The following is a 27,734-nucleotide window of genomic DNA, read 5'->3' as shown; positions in this document are numbered from 1 at the left end:
CTGGGTGTCTGAGCTGGTTTTAAACTAGATGAGTCAGAAGGCACAGGGAAGGAAGAATGTTTTACATTATTTTCTTAGAGGGATAGAGGTGGGTGGCAATGAATGGTACTTCTTATGAGGCCCATGGTGACCAGCCCTGCTTCCTGACAACAGGAAGAATTCAATGACTATGAGGCCAACGACCCTTGGGTACAACAGTTCATCCTTAACCTGGAGCAGCAAATGGCAGAGTTCAAGGTGAGCAGGGGCCCTAGGGATCCACTTAGGGAATTACCCACGTCAGCCCAAACCAGCAGCCTGCAGGGTCTCATCACATTCCTTCTGGGGACCCTGAAAGCCCTTCCAACCCTCACCTGTAGAAACTCCCCCGTGGCCTCACGCTACTATCCTCACCACCTAAGACTCCAGCATAGAGGCAGAGGAGTTAGGTGGGGCTCGGCTGATGTCAACCCTCTGTGTGCAGGCCAGCCTGTCCCCGGTCATCTACGACAGCCTAACCGGCCTCATGACTAGCCTTGTTGCCGTCGAGTTGGAGAAAGTGGTGCTGAAATCCACCTTTAACCGGGTAAGGTAAAGGGGTCATGGGTCTGCGGCTCTCGTTTCTCCTCTGAGGAAGACATGTCATGCCACCACCCCCAGGACTTGCATCCCCTCTGTCTGCTGCCCACAGGCCCTGCATGTCTGGGTCCAGTCCTGCTCTGGCTTCTGAAGCCGTAGAGCAAACAAACCACAGGGCACCACCTGAGGCCTGGCGGGCCTTGCCACCCAGCTCTGGGGGCAACTGGAGGCCAGTTCTGCTTGGCCAGGCCTAAGTAGTGACTGGGCTTGGGTTCTCCTGCAGCTGGGTGGTCTGCAGTTTGACAAGGAGCTGAGGTCGCTCATTGCCTACCTTACCACGGTGACCACCTGGACCATCCGAGACAAGTTTGCCCGGCTCTCCCAGATGGCCACCATCCTCAATCTGGAGCGGGTAGGTGGGGCACCCTTGGCCCAGCCAGGGAGGGGTGACTGAAAGAGGCAAAGATGGATCCCCGCCACTTCCCTCTAAACCATGTCTGCCAGCAGCCAGCTCTATAGGACACCTTCCCCTTCCCGGGTGCCCCTGCTCTGCCCCTGGTAGAGGCCAGAGCCCTCTTTCAGAATAACCCCACCTTGCTGACTGGTCTCTATGTCCTTCCCCACAGGTGACCGAGATCCTCGATTACTGGGGACCCAATTCCGGCCCATTGACGTGGCGCCTCACCCCTGCTGAAGTGCGCCAGGTGCTGGCCCTGCGGATAGACTTCCGCAGTGAAGATATCAAGAGGCTGCGCCTGTAGCTGCCTGGATGAGCACACCTGGCTCATCACACTTGCAGGCCTGTTCCCTAAGGGGCCCCAGCCAAGGAGCTGAGCGAGGCTGTCTGGCTTGGGGGAGATCTGACAGCCCAGACCTTTCTACGGCTGGCAGCAGAGAAACAAAGTCTGGACCCACTCCATGCTCTGCCCTCAGACCTGGCCAGGTGATGCTCTGGGGGCAGCATCTCCCCACCGAGAGAAGCGGGCTCCTAATGAGGTGGGAAAGCCACGGCAGGCAGCGAGCAGCCCAGGCCAGCTTTCTGCATGGATGGTCAGTCTCTTGCCCTCAAACACTACAGCAAACAAGCTACCCCTGCCAGTCCTAGACAACTTGGGTACATCTGGGGACCTAGCAGTTAGGCTTGACTTTGAGGAGAGGCTGTGATGTTTATGATCCCTGAATAAAGCTACTCCTTGGAGAGATGCCAGTGTGCTGTTACCAGGGAGGGCCAGATGCTATGGGGCAGGGCAGGTCTATCAGTTGCACTGAAATAGGAAGGTAAAACCCAAGACCTCAGCCTGCTCCCACACACAGTGCAGCACACAGCTGTGTCCGGGGCCCACATGATGGCAGGAGCCCCCATCCAGTCCCAGACCCTCGTGCCCCTCTTGGGCCCCCAGCACCACAAGCTGGATCACCCCAGGGCCAGTTCCCCATGGTGTAGAGAAGTGGGAACTGCTCCCAGCAGGAGCAAAAGTGACTTTACGAGGACCACCTGCAAGGACAGAGTGAATTTATTCCAAGAATGCCAGTCCTGAGAACCCACTTCCCACAGGCACCAGGTCACTTGGCACGCTCCGTAGTTTTGCTAGTTAAGGCCTGGGATGGCAGTGAATCACTGGGTCACTGCTACCAACTTGGCAAGGGACCGCCACCCTCACTCCCACGCTCACATGAGGGTTGAGTGTAAGTCTACAACTCTAAGCCATAGGGAATGCCTCAAAGGGCCTCTTCAGGGTTGGCCTTGCTAAGGGACTCCCAGCCATATGCCAAGGCTGGCTGTCAACCCTTTCCAGGGCCCTTGTGGAATGAGAAGGCCAGCCATAGGATTTGTAAAGGCCACGTGGGATACTAAGCTTGGGACCTTCCTATGTCCAGGAGGAACAGAGGCTACATCTAGGCCCCTGTCCACCAGGTCACAGTCCTGTCCCAGGCACTCTCTGCTTGCCCAGATCTTGCTCTGGTCAGCTTCCTTTGGGAGCAGATTCGCAGAGGTGGGTGGGGAGTAGGAGGTGGAGGTTCCCATGGGGCAAGGAAGGTGGGGGACACTGTAGCTCCAGGTTTTCTCCTGTTGCAGAGAGAAGCCAGCTTCATGGGAAAGGGCAACAGGTTGAGGCCTCGGTCCCCAGCAGCTTCAGGCTCAGGCCCTGAGTGTCCACTTCAACCAGGTGGATGCTGTAATTCCCAAGGCCCTGGACAAGACAGGAAGTATTTAGAAGGCTCTGGACAAATCTCAGGCCTTCTGGAGGCTGGACTGGGCCTGCAGGACCAGGGGGACTTACAGATATAGCCCCTGGTTAACTGGTGGGCCACAGTGAGGTCTCTTGCCCCCAGAGGTCTCTTTACCAACCCCAGCCCCATCAGTACCTCGGTCTTGGCCAGCACCGCCTCCAAGGCCTCCTTTTGCTGTGGCTCCTTGGTCAACAGATAGAGAAAGCCTCCACCGCCTGCCCCAGCCAGGCTCTGGCCATGCACGTGGGGGGCCAGGACATCCATCATACGCCGCACAGTCAGGGGCTCACAGCCTGGAGCCATGAGCTTCTTCTGCTCCCAGTACGAGGTCAGGCACTGGCCCAGCAGAGGCAGGCTTCCTGAGGTGGGGCAGAGGGGAGTGACGTGCCTGGGCCAAGATACTCAGCACCCATCTGGAGATTGCATGAAGTGCCAAGACGTGCTGCTGAGCCAGTGTCATGGTAAAGAAGCCGGATTCCAGTGCCGGCTGGAGCCAGGAGTAACCCACTTCCCAGGACTGCCTGAGGACCAATGTGCAGGAAGCAACCAACACCACACCCAGCATAGTCGGCATCTAGGGAGCTGTGAAGCCACACACTGGGGACCCTGCCCAGCTCAGACTTCCTTGGAACTCAGCCATGGGTTGAGTCCCTTCCCCTCTCTGCTTCCTGTTAGGGCTGGAGGGCCTTTCCCATGATGAAAATTTTGTCCTCAGATGTAGCTCTCCCCTAAATGTGAGACCCTGGAGAGGACAGACAGTAGGCTTCTGTTCCCAGAGGCCGAATATCTGGAGCTTGTGCCAAGCCTGCAGATGACCCTGGCCTCAAACCCACAAGTGACAGAATACTCGCTCCCAGTGCCCTGACCCCCCCAGAGGAAGCCCCTCACCTTGGCGGAAGCCTTCAGCACACTCCTCAGTTTGCCGTACCAGGCTGTGGGCATTCTGCACCACAGCAGGAAGTCGGGCATACCAGCTCCTCAGCACATCCTGCGGACGGGGCAGGAGAAGGGGTGGTGAGGACCCAGGCCCAGCTGGCAGGCCCCCTGCCTGCCTCCCTCATGCTGGGGCCAGAGCTCACCTGCAGCAGGTTCCGAGCCAGGCGGGTCTTGCCAGTGTACACCAAGAGCAGGTGGTCATTGAGCTTCTGGACAAAGCCCTCAGGCACCGTGACCTCTTCTACCTCCACCTTCAGTGGCAGCTGAGCCCGGGAGCGCCCCACCTTGATGCCAGGCATTAGGCCACCTACTTGGTCCTGCCAGCCACCTCCTGTGAGCCCAGGGACTGTCACTGTTGGAGTCTATCTGGCCCAGCTTCACTCTCCCAGCCTAGGCTCCCGGCCCTGCACCCCTTGCTGGGACCAGTGTGGAAAGATAGCTTCCCTCAACTCCACAGGACAGTGAGCTATGCAGCTTCTGTCCCCAGAACAATCCCAGCAAGGGAATGGGCTTCACTCTAGGGCAAAGCTTGGAATTCCCAAGGCCTGAGTTTTGTTTTAGACCTAATGTATAATTGGAATTGGGATAAACCACACTGAAGAATAAAGATTTTACACTATGGCCGGGCACGGTGGCACACGCCTGTAATCACAGCACTTTGGGAGGCTAAGGCGGGCAGATCATTTGAGGTCAGGAGTTTGAGACCAACCTGGCCAACATGGTGAAATCTAGTCTCTACCAAAAATACAAAAATTAGCCAGGCATGGTGGTGCATGCCCTGTAATCCCAGCTTCTAGGGAGGCTGAGGCAAAGGTTGCAGTGAGCTGAGATCGCACCACTGCACTCCAGCCTGGGTGACAATGTGAGACTCTGTCTCAAAAAATACATATTTTACACTGACCTCTGCCCCTCCTAGGGGAGTTTTAGTCAGAGGAGAGGCTGACAGATACCTTCCCTTTGGCCTGAGTCTCCCTGCACCGTCTTCTGACAGGTGGTTTATGTTGGAAGGAAGGTCATCAGGATCTGTTTTTCTCTTATCTAACTTACACATCTTTCCATCTTCAGTAATGAAAGGTATGTATCATTTTCCTCCTTGTAGCTGCATAAAAATAACAAAACTAGTCCGGGCATGGTGGCTCACGCTTGTAATCCCAGCACTTTGGGAGGCCAAGGCAGGCGGATCATGAGGTCAGGAGTTCAAGACGAGCCTGGCCAACACAGTGAAACCCCATCTCTACTAAAAATACAAAAAATTAGCTGGGCATGGTGGCAGGCACCTGTAATCCCAGCTACCTGGGAGGCTGAGGCAGGAGAATCTCTTGAACCCGGGAGGTAGAGGTTGCAGTGGGCTGAGATCGCACCACTGCACTCCAATCTGGGTGACAGAGCTAGACTCCATCTCAAAAATAAAAAAAAATTAAAAATAACAAAACTTGAGTTGCTTCTGGGACAGGCCCTTGATAGTTAGGGAAGGGCCTGCAAGGGTTTAAAGTATGAAATGCAAAAGACAGAAGCCATCTGGAACTTTGCAGCCAAAACCTGGTAGTTGCAAAGTGGCTAAGTCTTGAAATGTCAAGACTTAACTGTGCCCCTCTGCTTCAAAGCACTTGGCACAGTTTGTAATACACATGCACCTGAGTAGTTATTGATTAATGTCTGTCTCCAGGAGACCACAGGACTTTTGAGGGCAGGGACCCCATTTTTGCTCATTTTATCCCTGGGGCCCCACAGAGTGGGTTCTCAACAAATAGTTTTCCGTTGGCCAAATGTAGAACTTGAATGGTACACCTCAAAAGAAAACTGAAAATGCTTCCCCATCTGCTCCTTTTGCTAATGACTACCGATTATGGGATATGAGTCACTACAGTGAAATGTGAGGCTTGAGCTGCAGAGTGACAGAAAACACCACAGTCAGGCTTCAGTAGGCCTTTGCAGCAGTTTCTTTCCAGGGGTGTGCTGGAGACGGGACCTGACACCCTGAGGTGGACCTGAAACCAGACAAGCTGTAGCTGCTCTACACTGGCCATGGGTTCCAGGGGGCTCGGTGGCCAGGAGGAGTGAGAAGCCTGGCGCTGGTGACATTCATTAGATCATAGTCATTGTTGGGCTCTTGCTGTCCCACCATATGGCCAGGGGGTGGGGGCGGGGGCACAGGTGATCATATCTCAAGTAAGGGCACGATGCCAGGACAGGCGGAAGGTCCAAAGCAGCTCTGCCCAGCCCTACCCCAGCACAGCCCTGGAAAGGCACAGTCACGAAGCACAGCACCTGGTTCCAACAAGCATGAGAGGCACAGCACAGGCCGGGCGCGGTGGCTCACGCCTGTAATCCCAGCACTTTGGGAGGCCGAGGCGGGCGGATCACGAGGTCAGGAGATCGAGACCATCCTGGCTAACACGGTGAAACCCCGTCTCTACTAAAAATACAAAAAAATTAGCCGGGCGTGGTGGCAGGCGCCTGTAGTCCCAGCTACTCGGGAGGCTGAGGCAGGAGAATGGCGTGAACCCGGGAGGCAGAGCTTGCAGCGAGCTGAGATCGCACCACTGCACTCCAGCCTGGGCGACAGAGCAAGACTCCGTCTCAAAAAAAAAAAAAGGGCACAGCACAGAATCTGGCACTCAGTAGATGCTTGTGAAACGGCTCGTTGGGAGGTAGAACATTTCAGGTTGAAAACGACCAGAGAAGGTCAAAGTGACTAGAAGGAAAGTATTTCCAACAGCAGCACAGTCTTGTGGCTGTTGGCCAATCACATGCAAATCCAGGGGAGCCCCACTCCCCCCGCGGGCCCTTGGGAAAGTGTCAGTGACCTCCTCCAACTCCAGGGCAGTCACATACCAGTGGTGAGCACCTGCTCCAGGTGCAGCACTGCGTGGATCAGGGCTTCCGTGCCCACCACCCGGCCTGCGGCTCGCTGCAAGGCAGCCAGGGCAGTGCCTGCCAGGATGCTGCTGGTGCCTGCAGGGCGGAGAGGAGAGAGCAGACATGAAACACCTCCACCCTGCCCAGGCCTGCCTGACTCCGTCTAAGGGCAGAGGCCAGGAAGGGGGATCACAGGCAAGGCTGGAGGGCTGTAACAGTCGGTGGGTAGCAGGAGGCAGGGCCCGCTCACCCAGGCCAGAGCCGTGGGGCAGCTCAGACCAGGTGTGCAGCTCAAAGCCGCCCCCGAAGGTGCGGAGCAGCTGCTCACTCAGCTGGAGTTCCGAGTGGACATGCACGATCCCTGCACAGATGAAGGCCGCCTTCAGCAGGGCCCCTGCAGAAGGACAGGCATGAGAAAGGAATTCAGTCTCGATGGGCAGACGCAGGCACCCACCCACCCTGGACTTCCCAGCCCAGTGCGGGACTCATCCGGTGGGACAAAAGCCCAGCAGCAGTACTGGCCCCATCCCCAAGCCACAAAAGGGCCTCTGGGCTCCCAGACAGGGACACGTGTCATCTTTGCAGGTTGACTCCCAGCCCCTTCCTTCCCTTCAGGCTCCTCAGCCAGACTGGCTGGCCCTCAGGCCAGACCCCACTGGCCTGCAGTCTCTAGCTTCTGCCCCGAGCCCCCAGCTGGCCAGCCCCACCTGCAGAGGTCCCAGGGTGCCTGACCTGGGGCATGAGGCTGGCAGTAGTCCCGCAGGTCAGCCAGGCACCGGCACACTATCTTCACAGTCATCTCATCCTGCCGAGGCCCCACCGCCAGCCACAGCTCAGGCTCCGGGATGCGGCGTGCCCTGGCTCCGATGGGCCGGCGGCCGTCCACTCGCACAGCCAGGCCCAGCACAGCCCCGCCAAGCTCATAGGCAAGGGGTGGCGTGTCACTCCAGCCCCCTATGGCAGTGTGGCAAGACTCAAGCTGGTCACAGAAGCTGCCAGCCTGGCTCTGGGGCAGCTACCCTCAACCCCACCTGCCACAAGGGGCTCACCAGAGAAATCCACACGGGCCGGGCACTCAGCCACCACCCACTGCCCAGGTCCCGGCAGTTCCACCTGCTCTGTGGAGACAAAGTGCTGGGCTGACATCACAGCCTGGCGGATCAGGATCTGACCAGCCCCCTCATAGTGGCGGGCCGCTCGCACCAGCAAGGCTGGCCTGCCAAGAGAAGGGGGAGGGATGGTGGCATGCAGCCCCAAGCTGGGGGCAGATTGCCTGGCTTTGGGGACCTGACTGTCCCGGGGTACCCAAGGGAGCCCCACCTCTCTCTGGGTTTCCTCCATCAGGGTCCACTTCCCAGACAGCAAGGGGCTTATCCAAGGGATCTGACCTCCATTAGTACACACCTGCTTAGCCACTTGTCCCTCTCCTGGGCAAGCGCCTCCACGCCCGCTGCCAGGTCTCCACACTCCAGGTATGAGAAGGGCCGCATCCACTCAGGGTTGGCAGCTGGCCCGCTCCGCAAGCCCCCACGGCCCTCTGCCATGCAGCCCAGGACGTCCGCCACACAGGCCAGTGCCCGTGCCGCCACACCAGGGTCTCCTGCCCCAGCTGCAACTGAGGGACAAGGAGTTGGGGGTGGCAGGGGAGGAGGCCTGTCTTCAAAATCCTCTTTCACGAGAGGCTACTCAACAGTCCCTAAATGCGCCAGACCCCTCACACCTCCTGGCTTTTGCCCACAATGTATCTTTGACTGTAACTGCACTCCTGCTCTCTGCCTGGCAGAGATCATCTCGTCTTGCCAGTCCCAGCCCATAGGTGTCTCTTCACCCCCACCCAGGACACCCATAGTGGTGAAGAGCTCAGGCTCTGGGCTCAAACCACCTGGGCTCAGGTCTCAGCCTCACCACCAGCTAGCCGTGTGGCTCTGGGTGAGTGGCTTCAATACCATTCATGTCCACGGTCCCTGGGACCTTCCATGAGGTTCAGCCTAGGAGGCTAAGGCTGTGAGCCCCCGGAAGTGTGCTTGGGACCTCATGCAGAGATGACCATGTCCCCTGGGGGCTCTGTCCCCTCGCCACGCTCTGCACCCACATCCTGGCACCCAGTACAGAACACGCAGGGTTTGCCGATGTGCCTAGGACCTAGAGCTCAGCTGCCAGGCCTCAACCTCTGACCAAACCCCACTGACAAGGATGAACATGCCTCAACCTCAGACCAAACCCCATTGACAAGGATGAGGCCTTCCAGAATCCTAAAAGTAAACTCCAGCATGCCCCTTCCCTGCTTGAGCACCTCATGGTCCCCTAGTCCCCTCAGGGGATGGCCCAGAGGACAGGGAGGGCAGGTGCCCCTGGCCTGATTCTGCAGCACTACCAGCCTGCACACTCACCCTGGTCCAGCGTGGCCAGCAGGGGCCCGGGGCAGCCCTCGCGGACAGCAGCCCAGATCAGCGGGCGCAGGCTGAGGTCCTGCCGGGCCTCCAGCACGTGCCGCGCCTTATGCAGGGCCTGGCGGAAGAACAGGTCCCGGCGAGAGGCCAGCGTGGCAGCCCGATCCAGGCACGGCTGCAGCTGCTCCCAGGACAGGCGCCAGGAGGCCCGCCAGGCTCGCAGGGCCTCGCCCCCATCCTCCTGGTGGTCCAGCATCCACAGCAGGTCCTGGGGTCCCAGCTCCCTCGAGGGGTGGAGCACAGGAAAGAGGCGGGCGCTGGGAAGGCAGTACTCTGCGGGCAGCGTCTCAGGGTCCCACAGGTCCCAGGCTCTGATGTGGGGAGAAGGCACATTCCCAGGAGGGAAGCAAAAGCTCCAGTCTCTTCCCCAAGCCCTGAGCCGCCTGTCAGTTCATGGGGACAGGACAGACTCCTCCGAGGTAGCATAAGTGGGCAATTCAGGTCGGGGGCCAGGCTGCCTGGCATCCTTTCCCAGACCATTGAACAAGAAAGCCAAAGTCAGCACAGCCAGAGACTGGGAGCTGCCCGGGGGAAAGTACTGGAGAGAATCCGGCTGCCCAAAACCACCCAGGCCCCTGGATGGTAACACGGCCCGTGCTGCTCTGGGGCAGGGGAGGGACACACCTCAAAGAGCAGCAGCCACCCCAGCTGCCCAGGCCCACAGAGGCCCTAGGGGTGTCCACCTTACCGAACACCTGTCCTCTTGAAGAATTCACTCCAGGGCACGTTGAGATATGTGCCTGCCCCCTGTCTCTGGGGGAGAGGAAGAAGCAGTCAGGGCTGCAGGGGCCACAGGAAAGGGTTAGAGACACTCGGCCAGGGGGCCAGGAGCTGCTCAAGTGCTCACATGAGGGCAGGAAGACAGACAAAGAACATACTTGACCCACCCAGGCTGGAGTGCAGTGGTGTGGTCAGCTCACTGCAGGTATGAACTCCTGGCCTCCCACCTCGGCCTCCCAGAGTGTTGAGATTACAGGCATGAGCCACTACACCCAGCCATGGAGCAATTTCTGAAATTGTTTTCAGCCCTGCAGCCCCAACACTCCCGCCAAGGTGCCTGAAATCTGGAGCAGAACCCTGGGTTCCAGGCCCAGCCCACCACAACAGGCTGCAGCCCAAGGCGGGTTACCTCCCTCTCTGAATCCCAGTCTCTAGCCTGTCAAATAAGGATAAAAACCCCCACCCAGCCGTGCGCGGTGGCTCACACCTATAATCCCAGCACTTTGGGAGGCCGAGGCAGGCAGATCAGTTGAGGTCGGGAGATTGAGACCATCCTGGCTAACGCGGTGAAACCTCATCTCTACTAAAAAATACAAAAAAATTTGCCAGGCGTGGTGGTGGGCGCCTGTACTCCCAGCTACTCAGGAGGCTGAGGCAGGAAAATGGCGTGAACCCGGGAGGCAGAGCTTGCAGTGAGCCAAGATTGCGCCACTGCACTCCGGCCTGGGAGACAGAGTGAGTCTCAAAAAAAAAAAAAAAAACAACAACCCCACCCAACCAGACTAGCATGGCGAAACCCCATCTCTACTAAGCTGGGCGTGGTGGTGCACGCTGGTAGTCCCAGCTATTCGTGAGGCTGAGGCAGGAGAATCGCTTGAACCTGGGAGGCAGAGATTGCAGTGAGCTGAGATTGGGCCACTGCACTCCAGCCTTGGTGATAGAGCAAGACTCTATCTCCAGAAAAAAAACAAAATCCCCACCCAGCCCACCTGGCAGAGCAGATGCAAGGAGGGAGGTAAAGGCCTGTGGAGACTCTGCTGGTCTCACAGCCTATCTTCACCCTATCTCCTCCCTCATTCTCTCCTCCCTACATCCGACCCTCCTCACAGCCTGTCCCACGGGCCAGTGCTCAGAGAACCCCGCAGTGGGGTGGGGGCCAGGACTCCTTGGGCTCCCCAAAGCCTGAAGATGGGGGTGAGGGAATGCAGGGTGACTGCCTACCTCCCAGCTGTCCAGACGGCCAACGAGGGTGAAGGCGTGGCCCGGGGAGCCGTGTAGCCGCGTGTGGTGTCCCTGCAGGACAAGGTCACGCAGCTCCCGGCCATGCAGGGCCTTGGAGTGGGCTGTATCCAGGCCAGTCACCAAGCAGCCAGCGCCTATGTGAATGGGGCCCTGGTGGGGGACAGGGCAGGCATCCTGGGTGGGCAGGCACCCAACACCCCCCAACACATGCGGGATGCCAGCACCCTCGCCCCAATCTGCCCACACGCTCAGGCCTCACCTGCAGGTGGCAGTGCTGCAGGACGCTCCCAGGACCCAGCTGGACAGGGCCCTCCAGCAGGCAGCTGACCACAGAGCTCCCGGCCGCCAGAAGCTGCTGCTCCTGTGCAGCCAGGTAGGAGGAGCATGAGGGGGGTCGAGGCCCAGGGCTGCCCCAGCTCTCCTCCCAAGCCAAGCATCCAGGGGCAAAGCGTCCAGGCCTACTGCTCCCCTGCCCTGCAGCACCCTAGACTCCTCTCTGGACCTGCCTTGGCCCCAGCCTGAGACCTATTTCCATCCCACCTGTCCAACTACGCCCAACCTTGCCACCCTGGGGGCCACCTCTGAACCCTACCTGTCCCCTTCCTCAGCAGCACGGCACTGACCCAGGCCCACCACTGTCACCCCAGGCAGACCCCAAATAAAGGTCTCCTTTAGCTTCTCAATCAGGCAAGCTCAATGCAGAATCCTGAGTTGGCCACTTACTGGCTCTGTGGCCTTAGGCAAGTTACTTAGCCTCTCTGAGCCTCCAGCACTTCATGTGTAAACCAGGGTAACACCTGCACTCGGGTCATCTGTTCCAAGTGCCGGCTATTTTCTTCCCGGGAATCCACATCCCACCTGACCCCAGACAACCAGCAGGCACCGGAGGGGCAGGGAGGTCTCACCTCCACCTGGGAGTGCACAATCTGGGCCCCAGGAGCCCCGGGGAGTGTGAGGCTGAGCAGGAACTCACTGGCTGAGGAGGTCATGTAGCTGTAGCTGCCGCTGGAGACATAGGCTGTAAAGACATAAGTACTGAACCCAACCCCATGCCTGCTGCGACTCAGGGGCCAGGCTGCCTCCCAGCAGCAGAGACACATGGGGGCAGGTGTGGCCATGAGCCTGTTAGGGGAAGCTGAGTCAGGAACCTGCCCAAAGCCACACAACACAGCTAGAAAGTAGACAGGTTGGCCGGGCACAGTGGCTCACGCCTGTAATCCCAGCACTTTGGGAGGCCGAGGCAGGCAGATCACGAGGTCAGGAGTTCGAGACCAGCCTGACCAACATGGTGAAATCCCATCTTTACTAAAAATACAAAAATTAGCCAGGCATGGTGCCACGCACCTGTAATCCCAGCTACTCAGGCAGCTGAGGCAGGAGAATCGCTTGAACCTGAGACGCAGAGGTTGCAGTGAGCCGAAATTACGCCACTGCACTCCAGCCTGGGCAACAGAGCCATACTCTGTCTCAAAAAAAAAAAAAGAAAGCAGACAGGTTAGGGCCGGGCATGGTGGCTCATGCCTGTAAGCCCAGCACTTCGGGAGGCCAAGGCAGGCGGGTCACCTGAGGCCAGGAGTTCAAGACCAGCCTGACCAACTAAAAATAGAAAAATTAGCCAAGTGTGATGATGCATGGCTATTATCCCAGGTACGCAGGAGGCTGAGGCAGGAGAATTGCTTGAACCCAGGAGGCGGAGGTTGCAGTGAGCTGAGATCGCACCACCTCACTCTAGCCGGGGCGACAAAGAGAGAGTCCGTCTCAAAAAACAAAACAAACAAACAAAAAAAAACAGAAACAAAAGTGGACAGGCTGGGAGAGCCCAGGAATGAGACAAAAGGAAGACAAGAAGGGGAAGGAGGTAGCTCAGTGGGGGGCTCTGGCACAGGACAGGAGAACTGCCCAGTCCCTGTGCTGGGCTGCCTGGCCCAGCATGCAGTGAGCAGCTCCATTCTTGGGGTCCTCACTCCCATGGTCTCCCCACCCCAGGGAGCTGAGAGGCAGTACCCACCCATGGTAAGGGGCTGATCGCGAAGCTCCCTCCACAGCTGGGCCCGGGCGCTCTGCAGATAACCCGCTACATCTGCATCGCCTTGCCCCAACTCTGGGGGCCTCCCCACCAGGAAGTCCTCCCTGGTCACGTTCTCAGCCATGCAGTGGAGAATGTCAAAAAACAGAGACAGCTAGGGGAAGGGGAAGAAGCACAGCTATTGGCATGGCAGGGGTTCAGCCCCCAAGTTCTGAGGCTGAACCAGGGCAGTCCCGTCTGCGGAGACTCTGCCCCAGAGAGGGGAAGTGGCTGGCCTGAGGTCACACAGTGCCTCGCCCCCAAGCCAGGCCCCACCTAGCTGCCCTCCCCCAGTCACCTGGACAGGCCGGGCTCCGGAGTCCAAGCCTAGGTAGGTGCAGGCATCCAGGGGCGGGCTCACGTGGGTGGCTAGGAGGCGCTCGGCAGTCTCCACAGAGAAGAAGACAACCCCAGAGACCTGGAAGGGACCCCAAAAGGATCAGAGATGGAGGGCCCTGGACCAGGCCCTGGTACAAGTCAGGGAGGGCACATGCAGATGGGCCACATGAAGCTGAGTGCCATACCAGGCAGGGAGTGTCACCTTCTGACCACTCCAGCAGCCAGACTCCAGGCTTACTTGGGGTAGCTCCCACCAAGACACCTTCTGGGACACCCTCAACTGTCAGGCCTTCTCCTGAACCCAGTTCTCCACCCTCGCCATGGTCCACTCCCAGATCTCCATGCCTCTCCAATCCTTGCCCCTCATGATGGAAGCATTCCCGGAGTCTGGCTCTAGGCCTCCTCCCAACCGCACTCCCTAACTTGCTCACATTCTGGTTCTAGGCTTTCTTTTTTCGTTTGAGTTTTTGAGGTTTGCTTTGTTTTGTTTTACAGCGGGCAGGGGATTGATTCAGAGTCTCGCTCTGTCACCCTGGCTGAAGTGCAGTGGCACGATCTCTGCTCACCGCAACCTCCGCCTCCTGGGTTCAAGCGATTCTCGAGCCTCTACCTCTCAAGTAGTTGGGATTACAGGCACACACCACCATGCTCAGCTAATTGTTGTATTTAGTAGAGACAGGGTTTCACCACGTTGCCCAGACTGGTCTCGAACTCCTGACCTCAACTGATCCACCCGCCTCAGCCTCCTAAAGTGCTGGGATTACAGGCGTTAGCCACCGTGCCCGCCTGGTTCTAGGCTTTCTGGCTCAGGACAAGACCCTGAATTCCAAGGCTACCCTGTCCTCAGATTCTAGCTCTAGCTTGTCCTGGAGGCTTCTAGAAGGAATCGAAGGAAGTCAGACCCTCCCTCCCTGTCCCATAAGGTCCCCAAAGCCCCGCAACCTGGGCCCAGCAGCCATACCAGTGGCACCCGCCCATCAGGCCTGACACACCGCTGAATCTCTGCCTCAGTGCCCTGGTAGTAAATGTCCAAAACAAGGCCCTATGTGCAGGGAGAAACAGAATCAGCGGAGGGAGCAGGAAGGGATCTGGAAGGAGGCCACAGCCACAGGTGGCAGCAAGGGCATTCTCCAAAGGAAAGCTGAGGACGCAAGGCTGGCAGTTGCTGGCATTCTCAGGGGGGGCCTGAGATTTCTACTCCATGATGGCAGAGGGCAGGCTTTAAAGGTCTTTGCAGCCCTGAGCCTGGGCACAGAGACTGGACAGGCGGTCGGTGTGAAATGTATTTTTGGCGAGAGTAAGGGAGCACTGGTGCCACTGCCACGGAGGAAACTCCTTGGATTCAGGAACATGCGAGGAAATCCAGGATGAGAGGCTGCCCACTGACAGGGAGGAGGCTGCCCACTGACAGGAGGAAGGCTGCCCCAGCCGGCTCCACTGTCCCCAGGGGCACTACCTGGGGGTCAGTTAGGTAGACGCCATGATTCTGAGCGTAGGCCGGGCTCCCTGGGAGGGCGATCACTCTGGCTCCCCGGAAGCTGTCCCAGCTGATACCTGTGGGGTGGGGCAGTCAGGAGGCTCCCAGGGGCCTCCACCCAAGGCACGGATTTCCCCACCAGGTGGAAGCAAGAGCCCAGGGCTGCGGCACCTGGGCACCTCTAAAAGGGAAATACGGTTTCCAAGCCAAATGGACATTCGCCTGGGAGAATGACAACCCTCCTCTCCCAAAGTTCTTCCGCAGAGCCCTGTGGGACAGAAGGGGCAGGGCTGCTTCTGTCCATCCTATAGACAGACAGACTGAGGCACAGCAGGAGAAGCCCTGCCTCCACCAGGCTTCATTCTCCACACCCTCCAGCTTCCCGTCTAATAGGGCAGCGGGGCAGGCCCAGAGGCAGGGTGGGCAAGAAGGGCAGAGCTGGCTTCTTGCTGTGGCTGTGACGAAGGAAGGCAGTCCCAGGTAGTCTCAGGCTCACCAGGATTTGCAGGAACAGACAGCAGCATGTCGGTGCTGCAGACCCACACGCCTGGCGGGGAGCCCGGGCCCAGCTGTGGGGGGAAGGAGACAGAACACAGCTGGTGCCTGGCCCAGGCCTTCACCTGCCCCCTCCTTGCCCAAGGATACTGTGCTGTTGAAGTAACAAGGGCCTCCAAGACCTGGTCTGCCCCCACCCACTCTCTGACCTGGGTTTACAACTTTCCCCATGTGACCAAGACTAACTTATTTGTTGTTATTGCGACAGGGTCTCACTGTCACCCAGGCTGGAGTGCAGTAGTGCGATCGTAGCTCACTGCAGCCTCAAACTCCTGGGCTCAAGCGATCTTCCTGCCTCAGCCTCTTGAGTAGCTGGGACTACAAGTGCATGCCATCATGCCCAGGTAATTTTTTAAAAATTTTTTTGTAGAGATGGGGTCTTGCTGTGTTGCCCAGGCTGGTCATGAACTCTTGGCCTCAAGCGATCCTCCCACTTTGGCTTCTCAAAGTGCTGAAATTATAGGCATGAGCCACTGCCCCCAGACACAACTAACTTCTTGAAGCTCTTAACTAACATTAGGCACCCTCAAAACCATTCCTTCTCCCAGCTGAGCCAGCATAGATCATACCTGGGGGAACAGTGGGAGGGAAGTGGCTCTATCTGGGACGAGGCACCACGGGCCACCACCCAGCCTCACCCGATAGGTCATGATGTCCAGCAGGCAGTCCAGGTTGCAGACCAAGGCTTCCACGGGGGCCTCGGGGTTCTCCACGGGGAGGCAGGTGAAAGCCCTGCCACAGTCATCAAAGGGGAAGTCTCGACCCTGGAAGTCGGGGGACTGGTGAGGAAGCCTCAGTGCACAGAGCCCAAGGCCACCTCATCAGCTGTGCAGGCAGAAAGCCATCCAGTGGAGGGCTGATAAAAAATGTTCTCTTGATATTTTCTCCTACAATATATTTTTATATTATGCATTGCATTGCATTGCATTGCACTGCAATTTTTTAGACTAAGTCTTGCTCTGTTGCCCAGGCTGTAGTGCAGTAGTGCGATCTTGGCTCACTGCAACCTCCGCCTCCTGGGTTCAAGCAATTCTCATGCCTCAGCCTCCCAAGTAGCTGGGACTACAGGCATGCACCACCATGCCTGGCTAATTTTTTGTATTTTTAGTAAAGACAGAGTTTCACCATGCTGGCCAGGCTGATCTCAAACTCCTGACCTTGTGATCTGCCCGCCTCAACCTCCCAAAGCGCTGTGTGAGCCACTTTACAGATGTGAGCCACTGCGCCCAGCCTATAATTTTATTTTTTGAGAAAGGGTCACACAGGCTGGAGTGCAGTGGTGTAATCATAACTCACTGCAGCCTCAACCTCCCAGGCTCAAGTGATCCTCCCACCTCAGCCTCCTGAGTAGCTGGGACTACAGGTGTGCACCACCATGGCGGCTAATTTTTGTATTTCTTATAGAGATGAGGTTTCACCATGTTGCCCAGGCTGGTCTCGATCTCCTGGGCTCAAGCAATCCTCCCGCCTTGGCCTCCCAAAGTGCTGAGATTTACAGGCATGAGCCACTGCGCCCGGCCCTAGATGGACCTTTCAATCTAATATTCTGCTGGGAAAATATGTGGTATATATTTAGCCATTTCCCAATTTTTGGACATTTAGAATCTTTCAGATTTCATCTTGCACACACACAGTGGCAGAACACCCCTGAAGTCCTGCTCAACTCCACGAACTGGGATTCTGGCCTTCTGCTTGGCCCCTGCCCCAAAGTTCATTTACCATGTGCAGAATGAGGATCCAGGCCGAGTGCAGGACATCGGATGTGACCACCTGCAGGAGTGGGAAAGCCCTGTGAACAGAGGCCTCAGGCAGACGCCCTGGAGGATGGCACCCTCGAATCCAGAGAGAGACTCCAACACAAATCCACTCAGGTACCCAAGGGACAAAAGGCAAGGTCAAACCAATGGCCACAGGCAGACAAGGGGCAGCCCTGGTCCCTCCTGGATAAGGGATCCCAGGGCCCTCCACCTGGGCCACCTTCTTGCTGGCTGGTTTGTTGCTGTTGTTGTTGTTGTTTTGAGACAGGGTCTCACTCTGTCACCCAGTCTGGAGTGCAGTGGTATGATCCCAGCTCACTGCAGCCTTGGTCTCTTGGGCTCAAGCGAGCCTCCCACCTCAGCCTCTTAACTAGCTGGGACTACAGGTGTGCACTGCCACGCCTGGCTACCTCTTAAATTTTTTTTTTTTTTTTTTTTTGAGATGCAGTCTCGCTCTGTTGCCCAGAATGGAGTGCAATGGCATGATCTCAGCTCACTGCAATGGCATGATCTCAGCTCACTGCAATGGCATGATCTCAGCTCACTGCAACCTCCACCTCCTGGGTTCAAGCGACTCTCCTGCCTCAGCCTCCCGAGTAGCTGGGATTACAGGTGTGTGCAACCAGGCCCAGCTAATTTTTGTATTTTTAGTAGAGACGGGGTTTCATCACGTTGGTCAGGCTGGTCTCCAACTCCTGACCTCAGGTGATCCACCCACCTCGGCCTCCCAAAGTGCTGGGATTAAAGGCATGAGCCACCGCGCCCGGCCTCTGCTGTCTGTTTTGAAGGGGAGGTTACAGGCAACAAGAGTTGGGGGCTGGCTGGGTGACTTAGGGGAGTCAGCGCCATGGCAGCTACAGTGGTCCCCTCCCCTGCTGGTGCCATCTCCCTCTGCAGAGCATGTCCAAGTCTGTGCTCGCCCTCACTCTGCACACAAAGATGCTATGCAGACAAGGTGACCGGGTGAAGTGGCTGGTTGCATGGGAGACACGGGACCAGCAGGGATGCTGACTCACATGGCCTGCCCAAAGCAGGCAGCCGCAGCTCAGGTCCAGCGAACAGTTCGTTGCCATATGGGGATGACAGCCCAGGCTAGCAAGACCTTTGAATGTTTCAAGAGAAGCCAGAAAGCCTCACTTTGAGATATTGGCTACAACTCTCTAAAAACACTGCAAAAGCTGGCCCTGCCTTCTGCCCTCACTTGAACGGCAAGGCAGAGATGAGTCCGCCCAATTTACAGAAACAAAAACTGAGACCAATGCTGAGTTGGCCAAGGCGATGGAGCCAGAGGAGCTGGGGATCTCAGAAATGACCTGGTTCCAGCAGGGACACAGACCAGGGAGGTGGCCCTGGTGAGCACTCACAGTGAAGCCTGCCCGGGCACTCAGGTGTTCAGCAGCCACCAGCAGGGCGTTGAGGGTGGCTCCTCCGCTGCCCACACGCTTCTCTGGGTCCTCCACGGCCAGTAACAGCGTCCCAGCAGGGATCTGCTCCCGCTTCTGCCGCACTTCCAGTTCTAGGGTCAGAAGAGACACTGGGACCTGCCCCCCAGCTCTCTGCCCTGGCCCAAAGCACGTAAGCAAGCCTACTGATCATCAGTGTTTGATCTTCCTTGACTTAGCTTTCCATGTAGGAGGCCACTAGATCTTCACCCAACTTAGTGAGAGAAGTCATATTACTCCCATCTTACAGATGAGAAAACTAAGGCACAAGGAATGACATGCCACGTATGCTGTCACATGGCTAGGGAGAAGTGCAATCTGGGTTTGAACCCAGGTTGGCCTGGCACCTGGTGTTGGAGGGACATAGCCAGGAAGGGGAGGGAGGTTCTCCATTAGGGGCAAGGTGGGAAGGGGAGTCCCCTACCTCTCTGAAAGACCTGGACACTGTCCTTGTACTGGCAGGTCAGGATGATGACTGTCCAATCAACTCCCTTCGGCTGCTCCATTCTGGCCAAGCGGAGGGGCTTCCTGAGACAGCAATATGGGTAGATGTGACTATTTTTTAAACCATCATAACTAAAAGTAATTAATTTTATATACAATTCTATGATTTTAACATGTGTATAGATTCGTGTTGGTATCACCATCTACACTCAAAAAAACTTCCTCATGCAACCTCTCCTCCCCGCCTACGCCCTGACAACCACTGATTTGCTCTCTAAAGCTATAGTTTCATCAACTTAGAAAATGTCGGCCGGGTGCAGAGGCTCATGCCTGCAATCCTAGCACTTTGGGAGGCTGAGGTGGGGGGATCACCTGAGGTCAGGAGTTGGAGACCAGCCTGGCCAACATGGTGAAACCCCGTCTCTACTAAAAATACAAAAATTAGCCGGGTGTGGCGGGGCATGCCTGTAATCCCAGCTACTCGGGAGGCTGAAGCAGGAGAATCGCTTGAACCCAGGAGGCGGAGGCTGCAGTGGGCCAAGATCGCGCCACTGCACTCCAACCTGGGCGACAAAGGGAGACTCCGTCTCAAAAAAAATAAATAAATAAAAGAAAAAATGTCGAACAGGCCAGGTATAGTAGCTTACATCTGTAATTCCAGCACTTTGGGAGGCCGAGGTGGACAGATCACCTGAGGTCAGGAGTTCGAGACCAGCCTGGCCAACATGGCAAAACCTCTTCACTACTAAAAATACAAAAATTAGGCAGGCGTGGTGGCGTGTGCCTGTAGTTCCAGCTACTCAGGAAGCTAAGGTGGGAGGACTGCTTGAGCCTGGGAGATTATGGCTGTAGTGGGCTATGACTGTATCACTGCACTCCAGCCTGGGTCACAGAATAAGACCCTATCTCTAATTAATTAACTAAAATAAAATAAAGGCCAGGACAGGTGTAGTGGCTCACGTCTATAATCCCAGCACTTTGGAAGACCAAGGTGGGAGGACTGCTTGAGCCCAGGAGGTTAAGGCTGCAGTGAGCCATGATCACTCCACTGCACTCCAGCCTGGCTGACACAGCAAGACCCTCAAAACAAAACAAAACAAAAAAAAGTCAAATAAAATGGAATATAATCTTTTGAGATTAGCTTCTTTCATCCAACATGATGCCTCTGAGATGTATCCAAGTCATTGTACATATCTGTGGCCCAAGCCTTTTTTCGGAGGAGCAGTGATCCCTCGCATGGATGGGCCGCATCTGTTTCTCCATTTACCCACTGAAGAGCATCTGGGCCATCTCCAGTTTTTGGCAGATGTGAATAGTCCTGCTATGAACCTCCGGAGATAGGTTCGTGTGAACAGAAGATTTCATCTCCCCAGGTGGACACCAAGGCGGATGGCTGGGTCACGTGGTCAGCATGTCTGCTGACATTCCAAAATGTGGATGGGTGTGATTTCCCCAGGGAGTGTGCCCAGGAAGGAGGAAGGGAGGGCAGCAGGATGGGGTAAGAGTTGGGGCCACCCAAAGCAAGGGGGAAAGGAAGGCGAGAGCAAATGCCTAACCCCACCCCCCAGGCTCCTCAAGCTGATGGGGGTTCCCCGGAGAAGGGGGCAGCTGTGGGGAGCGCATATGCACTCAGAGCTGCAGGAGCAGGCACTTGGAGACCTCCCTTCCCAGGGGTCTCAGCCAGCCCAGCGGGGGCTGCAGCCCTACCTGCCCGCCATCTTCCTCCAGGGCACTCTCAGCAAGTAGGGGGAAAGCAAGGCCAAAGATTTGGCTTCACCCCCACCCCTGTCTCCCCCAACCTGCCAGCACTCCTGCCAGATGGAAAACCAATCTGACTCCTGAGCCCCTGGCCTCCCCGAGACCGAGTCCCCCAGGAGTACCCACACATTCACCTCTGGCAGGGCTCCCACTGCTGTCCCACAAAGCAGCACCCCCATTTCCTCCCTCCACCCCTCAAAACTCAGCATGGGAAAAGCCCATGCAAGTAAGCTGCTCACCACTGGCTGAGCTGCGCCCTGAGCACACATCTGGTGGTCAGCCCACACCCCAGCCAAAGTGACAGGAAACCTGAAGCTCAGCCACAGGCTATTCCAGTGCCAGGCTCTGCTGCCACCAGAAGAGAAGAGGCTGACAGGACACCACCACTCAGCAACACCCACGCCTTCAGGAAAAGCCTCTGTCAGAAATTGCTCCATTCCCTACTCAGCCCAGCAGGGAAATCCAGAGGGGAAATTCCAGCTAGAGATCCCAGCCAGGCACTTGAGGGTGAAGGCTCCTCCCAGGATGCCCACCAAGCCCTCCCTCCAACTTTGCCACCAATTTACTGTATGGCCGTAGGCACGTCTAACCCTCAGGTCAGCTGCAGCAGGGAGTGTAACTAACAGACGCCCCCAGCTGCTACGATCTGAATCTCCCACCTTGTTTACATGGAGGCCACGCTTTGAACGAACCTTCTCACAACCAGTGACTGAGCACAGCTGGGACACTGAAACAGACCTATTCCTGTGAAATTCCAGACTCCTCTGGCAGGCAGCTTAGAACTGCACTGCCACCTGGGCGCAGTGGCTCACATCTGTAATCCCAGCACTTTGGGAGGCCAAGGCGGGCAGATCACGAGGTCAGGAGTTTGAGACCAGCCTGGCCAATATGGTGAAACCCCGTCTCTAATAAAAATACAAAAATTAGCCAGATGTGGTGGCACGTGCCTGTAGTCCCAGCTACTCAGGAGGCTGAGTCAGAATAATCACTTGAACCCAGGAGGCAAAGGTTGCAGTGAGCCAAGATCACACCACTGCACTCCAGCCTGGGCGACAGAGCGAGATTCTGTCTCAAAAAAAAAGAAGTCCAGGCACGGTGGCTCACGCCTGTAATCCCAGCACTTTGGGAGGCCGAGGAGGGTGGATCACAAGGTCAGGAGATCGAGACCATCCTGGCTAATGCAGTGAAACCCCGTCTCTACTAAAAATACAAAAAATTAGCTGGGCGTGGTGGCGGGTGCCTGTAGTCCCAGCTACTCGGGAGGCTGAGGCAAGAGAATGGCATGAACCCGGGAGGCGGAGCTTGCAGTGAGCAGAGATCACGCCACTGCACTCCACTCCAGCCTGGGCGACAGAGCGAGACACCGTCTCAAAAAAAAAAAAAAAAAAAAGAGGCTAGACGTGGTTGGCGGCTCACGCCTATAATCCGAGCACTTTGGGAGACAGGGGCAGGACTGCCTGAGGTCAGGAGTTTGAGACCAGCCTGGCCAACATGGTGAAACCCCATCTCTACTAAAAATACAAAAATTAGCCAGATGTGGTGGTGGGCACCTGTAATTCCAGCTACTTGGGAGGCTGAGACAGGAGAATCACTTCAACCTGGGAGACAGAGATTGCAGTGAGCCGAGACCATACCATTGCACTCCAGCCTGGGCAAGAAGAGCAAAAATCTATCTCGAAAAAAAAAAAAGATGAAGAAACTGCTGGGTGTGGTGGCTCATGTCTATAATTCCAGCATTTTGGGAGGCCATGTCAGGAGGATCGCTTGAGCCCAAGAGTTAGAAACCAGCCTGGGCAACATACAGAGACCTGGACTCTACAAAAAAAAAAAAAAAAAAAGACGGAGAAATGAGGCACAGAGAGATGAAGTAACTTGCCAAAGCTAGCAAGTGGCAGAGTGAAGTTTGAAACTAAACTTTTTTTCCAGAGTATCTATTTTATTACCTTTTTTTCTTTCTGAGATGGAGTCTTACTGTATCCCCCAGGCTGGAGTGCAGTGGTACAATCTCAGCTCACTGTAATCTCCACCTCCTGGGTTCAAGCAATTCTCCCTGCCTCAGCCTCCCGAGTAGCTAGGATTACAGGCATGTGCCACCACGCCTGACTAATTTTTGTATTTTTAGTAAAGACAGGGTTTCACCATGTTGGCCAGGCTGGTCTCAAACTTTTGACCTCAGGTGATCCACCTGCCTCGGCTTCCCAAAATGCTGGGAATGAGCCACCATGCCCGGCCTCTTTTTTTATTGTCTTTTTTACTTTTTTTTTTTTTTTTAAAGACAGGGTCTCAATCTGTCACCCAGACTGGAGTGTAGTGGTGCAATCATAACTCACTGCAGCCTCGACCTCCCAGGCCCAAGCAATCCTGCTACCTCAGCCTCCTGTATAGCTGGGACCATAGGCACATGCCACCATGCCTAGCTAAGGTTTTCACTGTTTGTTTTCTTTTTAAGAGATTGGGTCTTGCCACATTGCCCAAGCTGGTCTCAAACTCCTGGACTCAAGCAATCCTCCTGCCTCAGCCTTTTTTTTTATTAATTTATTTTTAAATTTAATTAATTAATTTTTAAATTCATGCTCCCCACTACAGGGTCCACTTGCTTAACCACTACAATAAACCTACTTTGTAGAGCTGAAGTACAAAAGGAGGAAATATATGTAAAGCACTCAGTATGTATTATCTATTATAATTATGACAAAGCCTAAACAAATACAAGGGAGGGATGATTTTAGTAATAATAGCCACTAGGATGCCAGGCATGGTGGCTTATGCCTGTAATCCCAGCACTTTGGAAGGCCAAGGCAGGAAGATTACCTGAGGTCAGGAGTTCGAGACCAGCCTCGCCAACATGGTAAACCCTGTCTCTACTAAAAATACAAAAATTAGCCAGGCATGGTGGCAGGCACCTGTAATCCCAGTTACTCGGGAGGCTGAACCTGGGAGGTGGAGGTTGCAGTGAGCCAAGATCACGCCACTGCACTCCAGCCTGGGCGACAGAGTGAGATTCCGTCTCAAAAAAAATAAAATTAAAATTAATAGGCCGGGCATGGTGGCTCACGCCTATAATCTCAGCACTTTGGGAGGCCGAGGCGGGTGGATCACCTGAGGTCAGGAGTTTGAGACCAGCCTGGCCAGCATGGTGAAACCCCATCTCTACCAAAAATTCAAAAATTAGCCAGGCATGGTGGCGGGTGCCTGTAATCCCAGCTACTCAGGAGGCTGAGGCAGGAGAATCGCTTGAACCTGGGAAGCGGTGGTTGCAGTGAGCAGAGATTGTTCCACTGCACTCCAGCCTGGGTGACAGAGTGAGACTTTGTCTCAAAAAAAAAAAAAAGAAAGAAAGAAAGAAAAAAAATTAATAATAGCCACTAGGACTGAGCACTCTGGACCACAGTTAAGGTGCTGTGATTTTTTTTTTTTATCTTGACAACACCCTTAGACCCTGCAAGATAAGTATTATTATCTCCTATTATCTCCACTTCACAGAGGCCAGGAGACGCTATAGTCAAAGTTGCAACACACCTGGGTCTTTTGGATCCTTATTCAGGTGATAGTGATAATGATATCTGGTCCCAAGCAAAGGCACTGAAAGACAGCAAGAGGCCAGGTGCAGTGGTTCACACCTGTAATTCCAGCACTTTGGGAGGCCAAGACAGGCGGATGGCTTGAGCCCAGGAGTTTGAGACCAGCCTGAGCAACATGGCAAACCCCATCTCTACCAAAAAAAAAAAAACAAAAAACCACACACATACAAAAATTAGCCAGGCACAGTGAATGTGCCTATAGTCACAGCTACTCAGGAGGCTGAGGCGGAAGCATTGTTTCAGCCCTGGGGGCAGAGGTTGCAGTAAACTGGCACCAATACATTCCACCCTGGGTAACAAAGCCAGACCCTGTCTGAGGAAAAAAGAAAGAAAGAAAGAAAGAAAGAAACCCTTGAAATGGCCAGATGTGGTAGCTCACATCCGGAATCCCAGCACTTCGGGAGGCCAAAGTGGGCAGATCACTTGAGTTCAGGAGTTCAAGGCCAGCCTGGCCAACATGCCAAAACCCCATCTCTTTTAAAAGTACAAAAATTAGCCGGGTGTAGTGATGCGCGCTTGTAGTCCCAGCTACTCAGGAGGCTGAGGCAGGAGAATCACTTGAACCCAGGAGACGGAGGCTGCAGTGAGCCAAGATCACGCCACTGCACTCTAGCCTGGGCAACAGAGCGACTCTGTCTCAAGAAAAAAAAGAAATGCCCCAGAGAGTCCAATGGCCCAGAAGTTCTGAGCCCAGTCTTCATCTCAGCATAGTGATAGAGAGACATGGGCAGGTGACAGGTCATGGCCAGAGTGGGGAGAGTATCCCTTACTAATGACAGGGGCAGAGGAACAGTCCTGGGTTGCGTATCAGTCCCAAAAGGCTCTGTCCCCATCTCTACCTCTTCCTGCTTCCTGTAGGATCCTGAGCAAGTTACTTAATCTATTTTTTTTTTTAAGATGGAGTCTCGCTCTGTCACCCAGGCTGGAGTGCAGTGGCGCAATCTTGGCTCACTGCAACCTCCGCCTCCCAGGTTCAAGCCATTCTCCTGCCTCAGCCTCCCGAGTAACTGGGACTACAGGCGCGCACCACCATGCCTGGATAATTTTTTGTATTTTTAGTAGAGACGGGGTTTCACCATGCTGGCCAGGCTGGTCTCAAACTCCTGACCTTGGGATCCGCCTGCCTCGGCCTCCCAAAGTGCTGGGATTACAGGCGTGAGCCACCATGCCCAGCAGTTACTTAACCTCTCTAAGCCTCAGTTTCCTAATCTGAAATTTAAGGCCAAAGACATCAACCTCCCAGGACTGTTTTCAGCATGAAATACAATGTAAAGTATGTGGCACACACCAGTGGCTCAATGAATGATAATCCTTCCAGCCAGGCAAGGAAGCAGGAGAGTTTAACCTGTCCCTGAAGGAGGAAGGACTGGAAGCTCTCAAACATTCTCTGAGTTAAAGACTGTCCTGAAGAAGAAAAAAATCAGGGAAGGCCTCGGGAATCAAGCAAGGCTGAGGGACATCCCCTGAGAGATTAACAAAAAAGGTAAAATGATACAAGTAGCTAATACATATGGAGTGCTTTTTCAGGCACTATGGCAAAGGCACATCAGTGTCACTTCATATGACCCACCCAACAGTCCTAAGAATTGGTTCTTATCTCACTGAAGCTCTAGACAAGAAAACTGTAGTTTAAAAAGCAGAAACATAGCTATTAGGTTGGTGCAAAAGTAATTTTGGCTTTTGCCATTGCTTTAATAGCACAGGCAGGCTAGGCTTTTGTTTTGTTTTGTTTTGTTTTTGAGAAACAGGGTCCGGCTCTGTCACCAGAGGGCGGAACGCAGTGATGTGATCACAGCTCACTGCAGCCTCAAACTCCCGGGCTCCAGCGATCCTCCCATCCCAGCCTCCCAAGTAGCTGGGACTATGCATGAGTCCTGCTAGTTTTTTATTTTTTGTTGAGATGGGGCCTCCCTTTGTTGCCCAGGCTGACCTACAACTCCCGGACTCAAGTAATCCTCCCGCCTTGGCCTTCCTAAGTGTTGGGATTACAGGTGTAAGCCACCATGCCTGGCTTTTTTTTTTTTTGAGACAGTCTCCCTCTGTCGTCAGGCTGGAGTGCAATGGCGCGATCTCGGCTCACTGCAATCTCCGCCTCCCAGGTTAAAGTGATTCTCCTGCCTCAGCCTCCCAAGTAGCTGGGATTACAGACGTGCACCACCACGCCCAGCTAATTTTTGTATTATTAGTAGAGAGGGGGTTTTGCCATGTTGGCCACGCTGGTCTCAAACTCCTGACCATAGGTGATCTACCTGCTTCCGCCTCCCACAGTGCTGGGATTACAGGCGTGAGCCACCTCGCCCGGCCTTTTTTTTTTTTTTAATTAATAGTTTGCTGGAGTTACACAATCTCAAGAGGTCCTGAGAAAGTGTGCCCTAAGGCCCTAAGGTTCTTTTGTTGTTGTTGTTGTTGGTTTGTTTTGTTTTGTTTTTGAGACGTAGTCTCGCTCTGTCGCCCAGGGTGGAGTGCAGTGGCGTGATCTTGGCTCACTGCAACCTCCATCTCCTGAGTTCAAGCGATTCCCTCGCCTCAGCCTCCCAAGTAGCTGGGATTACAGGCATGAGCCTTGGCGCCCAGCCTCTACCCACTTTCAATACAGCCTCATCTGCTGAGATCAAGTTGAAATATTTTTTAGTGTCCTCAGCCCCACGCTGTCCAAGACTGGGATAGGGTTGGGGAGCCAGAGATAGAATAAAGTACTAAGAACTCTTCATATGAACCTTTTGAAGACAGGTGGGTCAGGGACTGCACATTTTAGAACTTTAAAGAGGAAAAAAAGGCTCACGGAGGACTCTGACTTGCTGCCTTCTAAATAACAGACCGAAAGAAGTTACTTGGGAGTAAAATCGTTTTGTAAATTACCCAAGAGCACATCATTGAGATTTGTGCATAATACTGAGCCCTGGCCGGGTAAACTGAGAGAGGAGAAGCGGCCTCAAAGTAAAATCAGAGCAGCGCCGGCATCCAGGGCCCCACCTGCCTCAGGGTGAGGATCCTCTGAGGCCCGCATCCCTCCCGGTCCCAGCTGCCAGCAGGTCCGGCCGCACCAGCCGGGTCGCGGGGCTCCCCTTGGAAGACCCAGGCCAAATGGACGCGGGAGCGTAGAAACACCTGTGGGCTCCCGGGGCACCGCAGAGCTCCCGGGGACTCTTCCCTGTCAGGACCCGGGCGGCCCGCGGGTCGACTCGGTGCTCCCAGTCAGGGAGGGTGCACCGGAAAGCTGAGGGGGCGCAAGGGGCGCAAGGGGCGCAAGGGGCGCTGCGGCGACCCTCGCGGACTGACGTACCTGCCGTCGCCCGGCGCTCGGCGGAGCGGGCTCTTT

The 27,734-nt window shown here is 55.4% G+C and overlaps 2 protein-coding genes across 5 annotated transcripts in view, besides 6 other annotated features; one reads left to right on the top strand and one right to left on the bottom strand.

Annotated features, from left to right (window-relative positions):
• COG4 (component of oligomeric golgi complex 4) overlaps window positions 1–1,762 on the top strand; it is a 42,988-nt gene extending 41,226 nt beyond the window's left edge. For 3 of the 4 annotated variants that reach the window (NR_158212.1, NM_001195139.2, NM_001365426.1), the window contains 4 exons: window positions 154–237; window positions 464–565; window positions 842–970; window positions 1,185–1,762. Coding sequence is in view for 3 of the 4 variants with exons in the window: in NM_001195139.2 (NP_001182068.2) it covers window positions 154–237; window positions 464–565; window positions 842–970; window positions 1,185–1,319 (450 nt within the window). In the remaining variant the exon portion in view is untranslated. The remainder of the gene's footprint in view (window positions 1–153; window positions 238–463; window positions 566–841; window positions 971–1,184) is intronic. The other variant, NM_015386.3, reaches the window with a different exon arrangement.
• FCSK (fucose kinase) lies at window positions 2,055–27,734 on the bottom strand. The gene is made up of 24 exons (NM_145059.3): window positions 27,699–27,734; window positions 19,057–19,160; window positions 18,555–18,706; window positions 17,153–17,203; window positions 16,072–16,197; window positions 15,375–15,447; window positions 14,858–14,955; window positions 14,363–14,443; window positions 13,361–13,480; window positions 13,006–13,177; window positions 11,903–12,015; window positions 11,257–11,358; window positions 10,977–11,147; window positions 9,724–9,788; window positions 8,976–9,346; window positions 7,990–8,200; window positions 7,635–7,801; window positions 7,318–7,539; window positions 6,836–6,979; window positions 6,562–6,681; window positions 3,870–4,057; window positions 3,679–3,778; window positions 2,926–3,149; window positions 2,055–2,750 (listed from the first exon to the last, which is right to left on the bottom strand). The coding sequence occupies exons 2-24, from the start codon at window positions 19,136–19,138 to the stop codon at window positions 2,649–2,651; spliced, it is 3,255 nt and encodes a 1,084-aa protein (NP_659496.2). The 5' UTR covers window positions 19,139–19,160; window positions 27,699–27,734; the 3' UTR covers window positions 2,055–2,648.
• Window positions 3,129–3,423: a silencer, noted in NCBI's record as "tiled region #8991; K562 Repressive non-DNase unmatched - State 17:Gen3'". NCBI's record gives its function as "represses a minimal TATA promoter and a strong SV40 promoter by Sharpr-MPRA in K562 cells {active_cell/tissue: K562}" and the evidence as "EXISTENCE:reporter gene assay evidence [ECO:0000049][PMID:27701403]".
• Window positions 5,055–5,224: an enhancer, noted in NCBI's record as "active region_11065". NCBI's record gives its function as "activates an Ori minimal core promoter by ATAC-STARR-seq in GM12878 lymphoblastoid cells {active_cell/tissue: GM12878}" and the evidence as "EXISTENCE:reporter gene assay evidence [ECO:0000049][PMID:35858748]".
• Window positions 5,365–5,634: an enhancer, noted in NCBI's record as "active region_11064". NCBI's record gives its function as "activates an Ori minimal core promoter by ATAC-STARR-seq in GM12878 lymphoblastoid cells {active_cell/tissue: GM12878}" and the evidence as "EXISTENCE:reporter gene assay evidence [ECO:0000049][PMID:35858748]".
• Window positions 10,564–11,499: an enhancer, noted in NCBI's record as "H3K4me1 hESC enhancer chr16:70504733-70505668 (GRCh37/hg19 assembly coordinates)". NCBI's record gives its function as "activates a minimal SCP1, AML or CMV promoter by ChIP-STARR-seq in naive H9 embryonic stem cells {active_cell/tissue: H9 hESC(naive)}" and the evidence as "EXISTENCE:reporter gene assay evidence [ECO:0000049][PMID:30033119]".
• Window positions 14,912–15,411: an enhancer, noted in NCBI's record as "H3K27ac hESC enhancer chr16:70500821-70501320 (GRCh37/hg19 assembly coordinates)". NCBI's record gives its function as "activates a minimal SCP1, AML or CMV promoter by ChIP-STARR-seq in primed H9 embryonic stem cells {active_cell/tissue: H9 hESC(primed)}" and the evidence as "EXISTENCE:reporter gene assay evidence [ECO:0000049][PMID:30033119]".
• Window positions 15,412–15,913: an enhancer, noted in NCBI's record as "H3K27ac hESC enhancer chr16:70500319-70500820 (GRCh37/hg19 assembly coordinates)". NCBI's record gives its function as "activates a minimal SCP1, AML or CMV promoter by ChIP-STARR-seq in primed H9 embryonic stem cells {active_cell/tissue: H9 hESC(primed)}" and the evidence as "EXISTENCE:reporter gene assay evidence [ECO:0000049][PMID:30033119]".

This window comes from Homo sapiens, chromosome 16, assembly GCF_000001405.40.
Source record: "Homo sapiens chromosome 16, GRCh38.p14 Primary Assembly".
In the NCBI taxonomy this organism is placed as follows: domain Eukaryota; kingdom Metazoa; phylum Chordata; class Mammalia; order Primates; family Hominidae; genus Homo; species Homo sapiens.
This window is presented reverse-complemented; position numbering and strand designations above follow the sequence as displayed.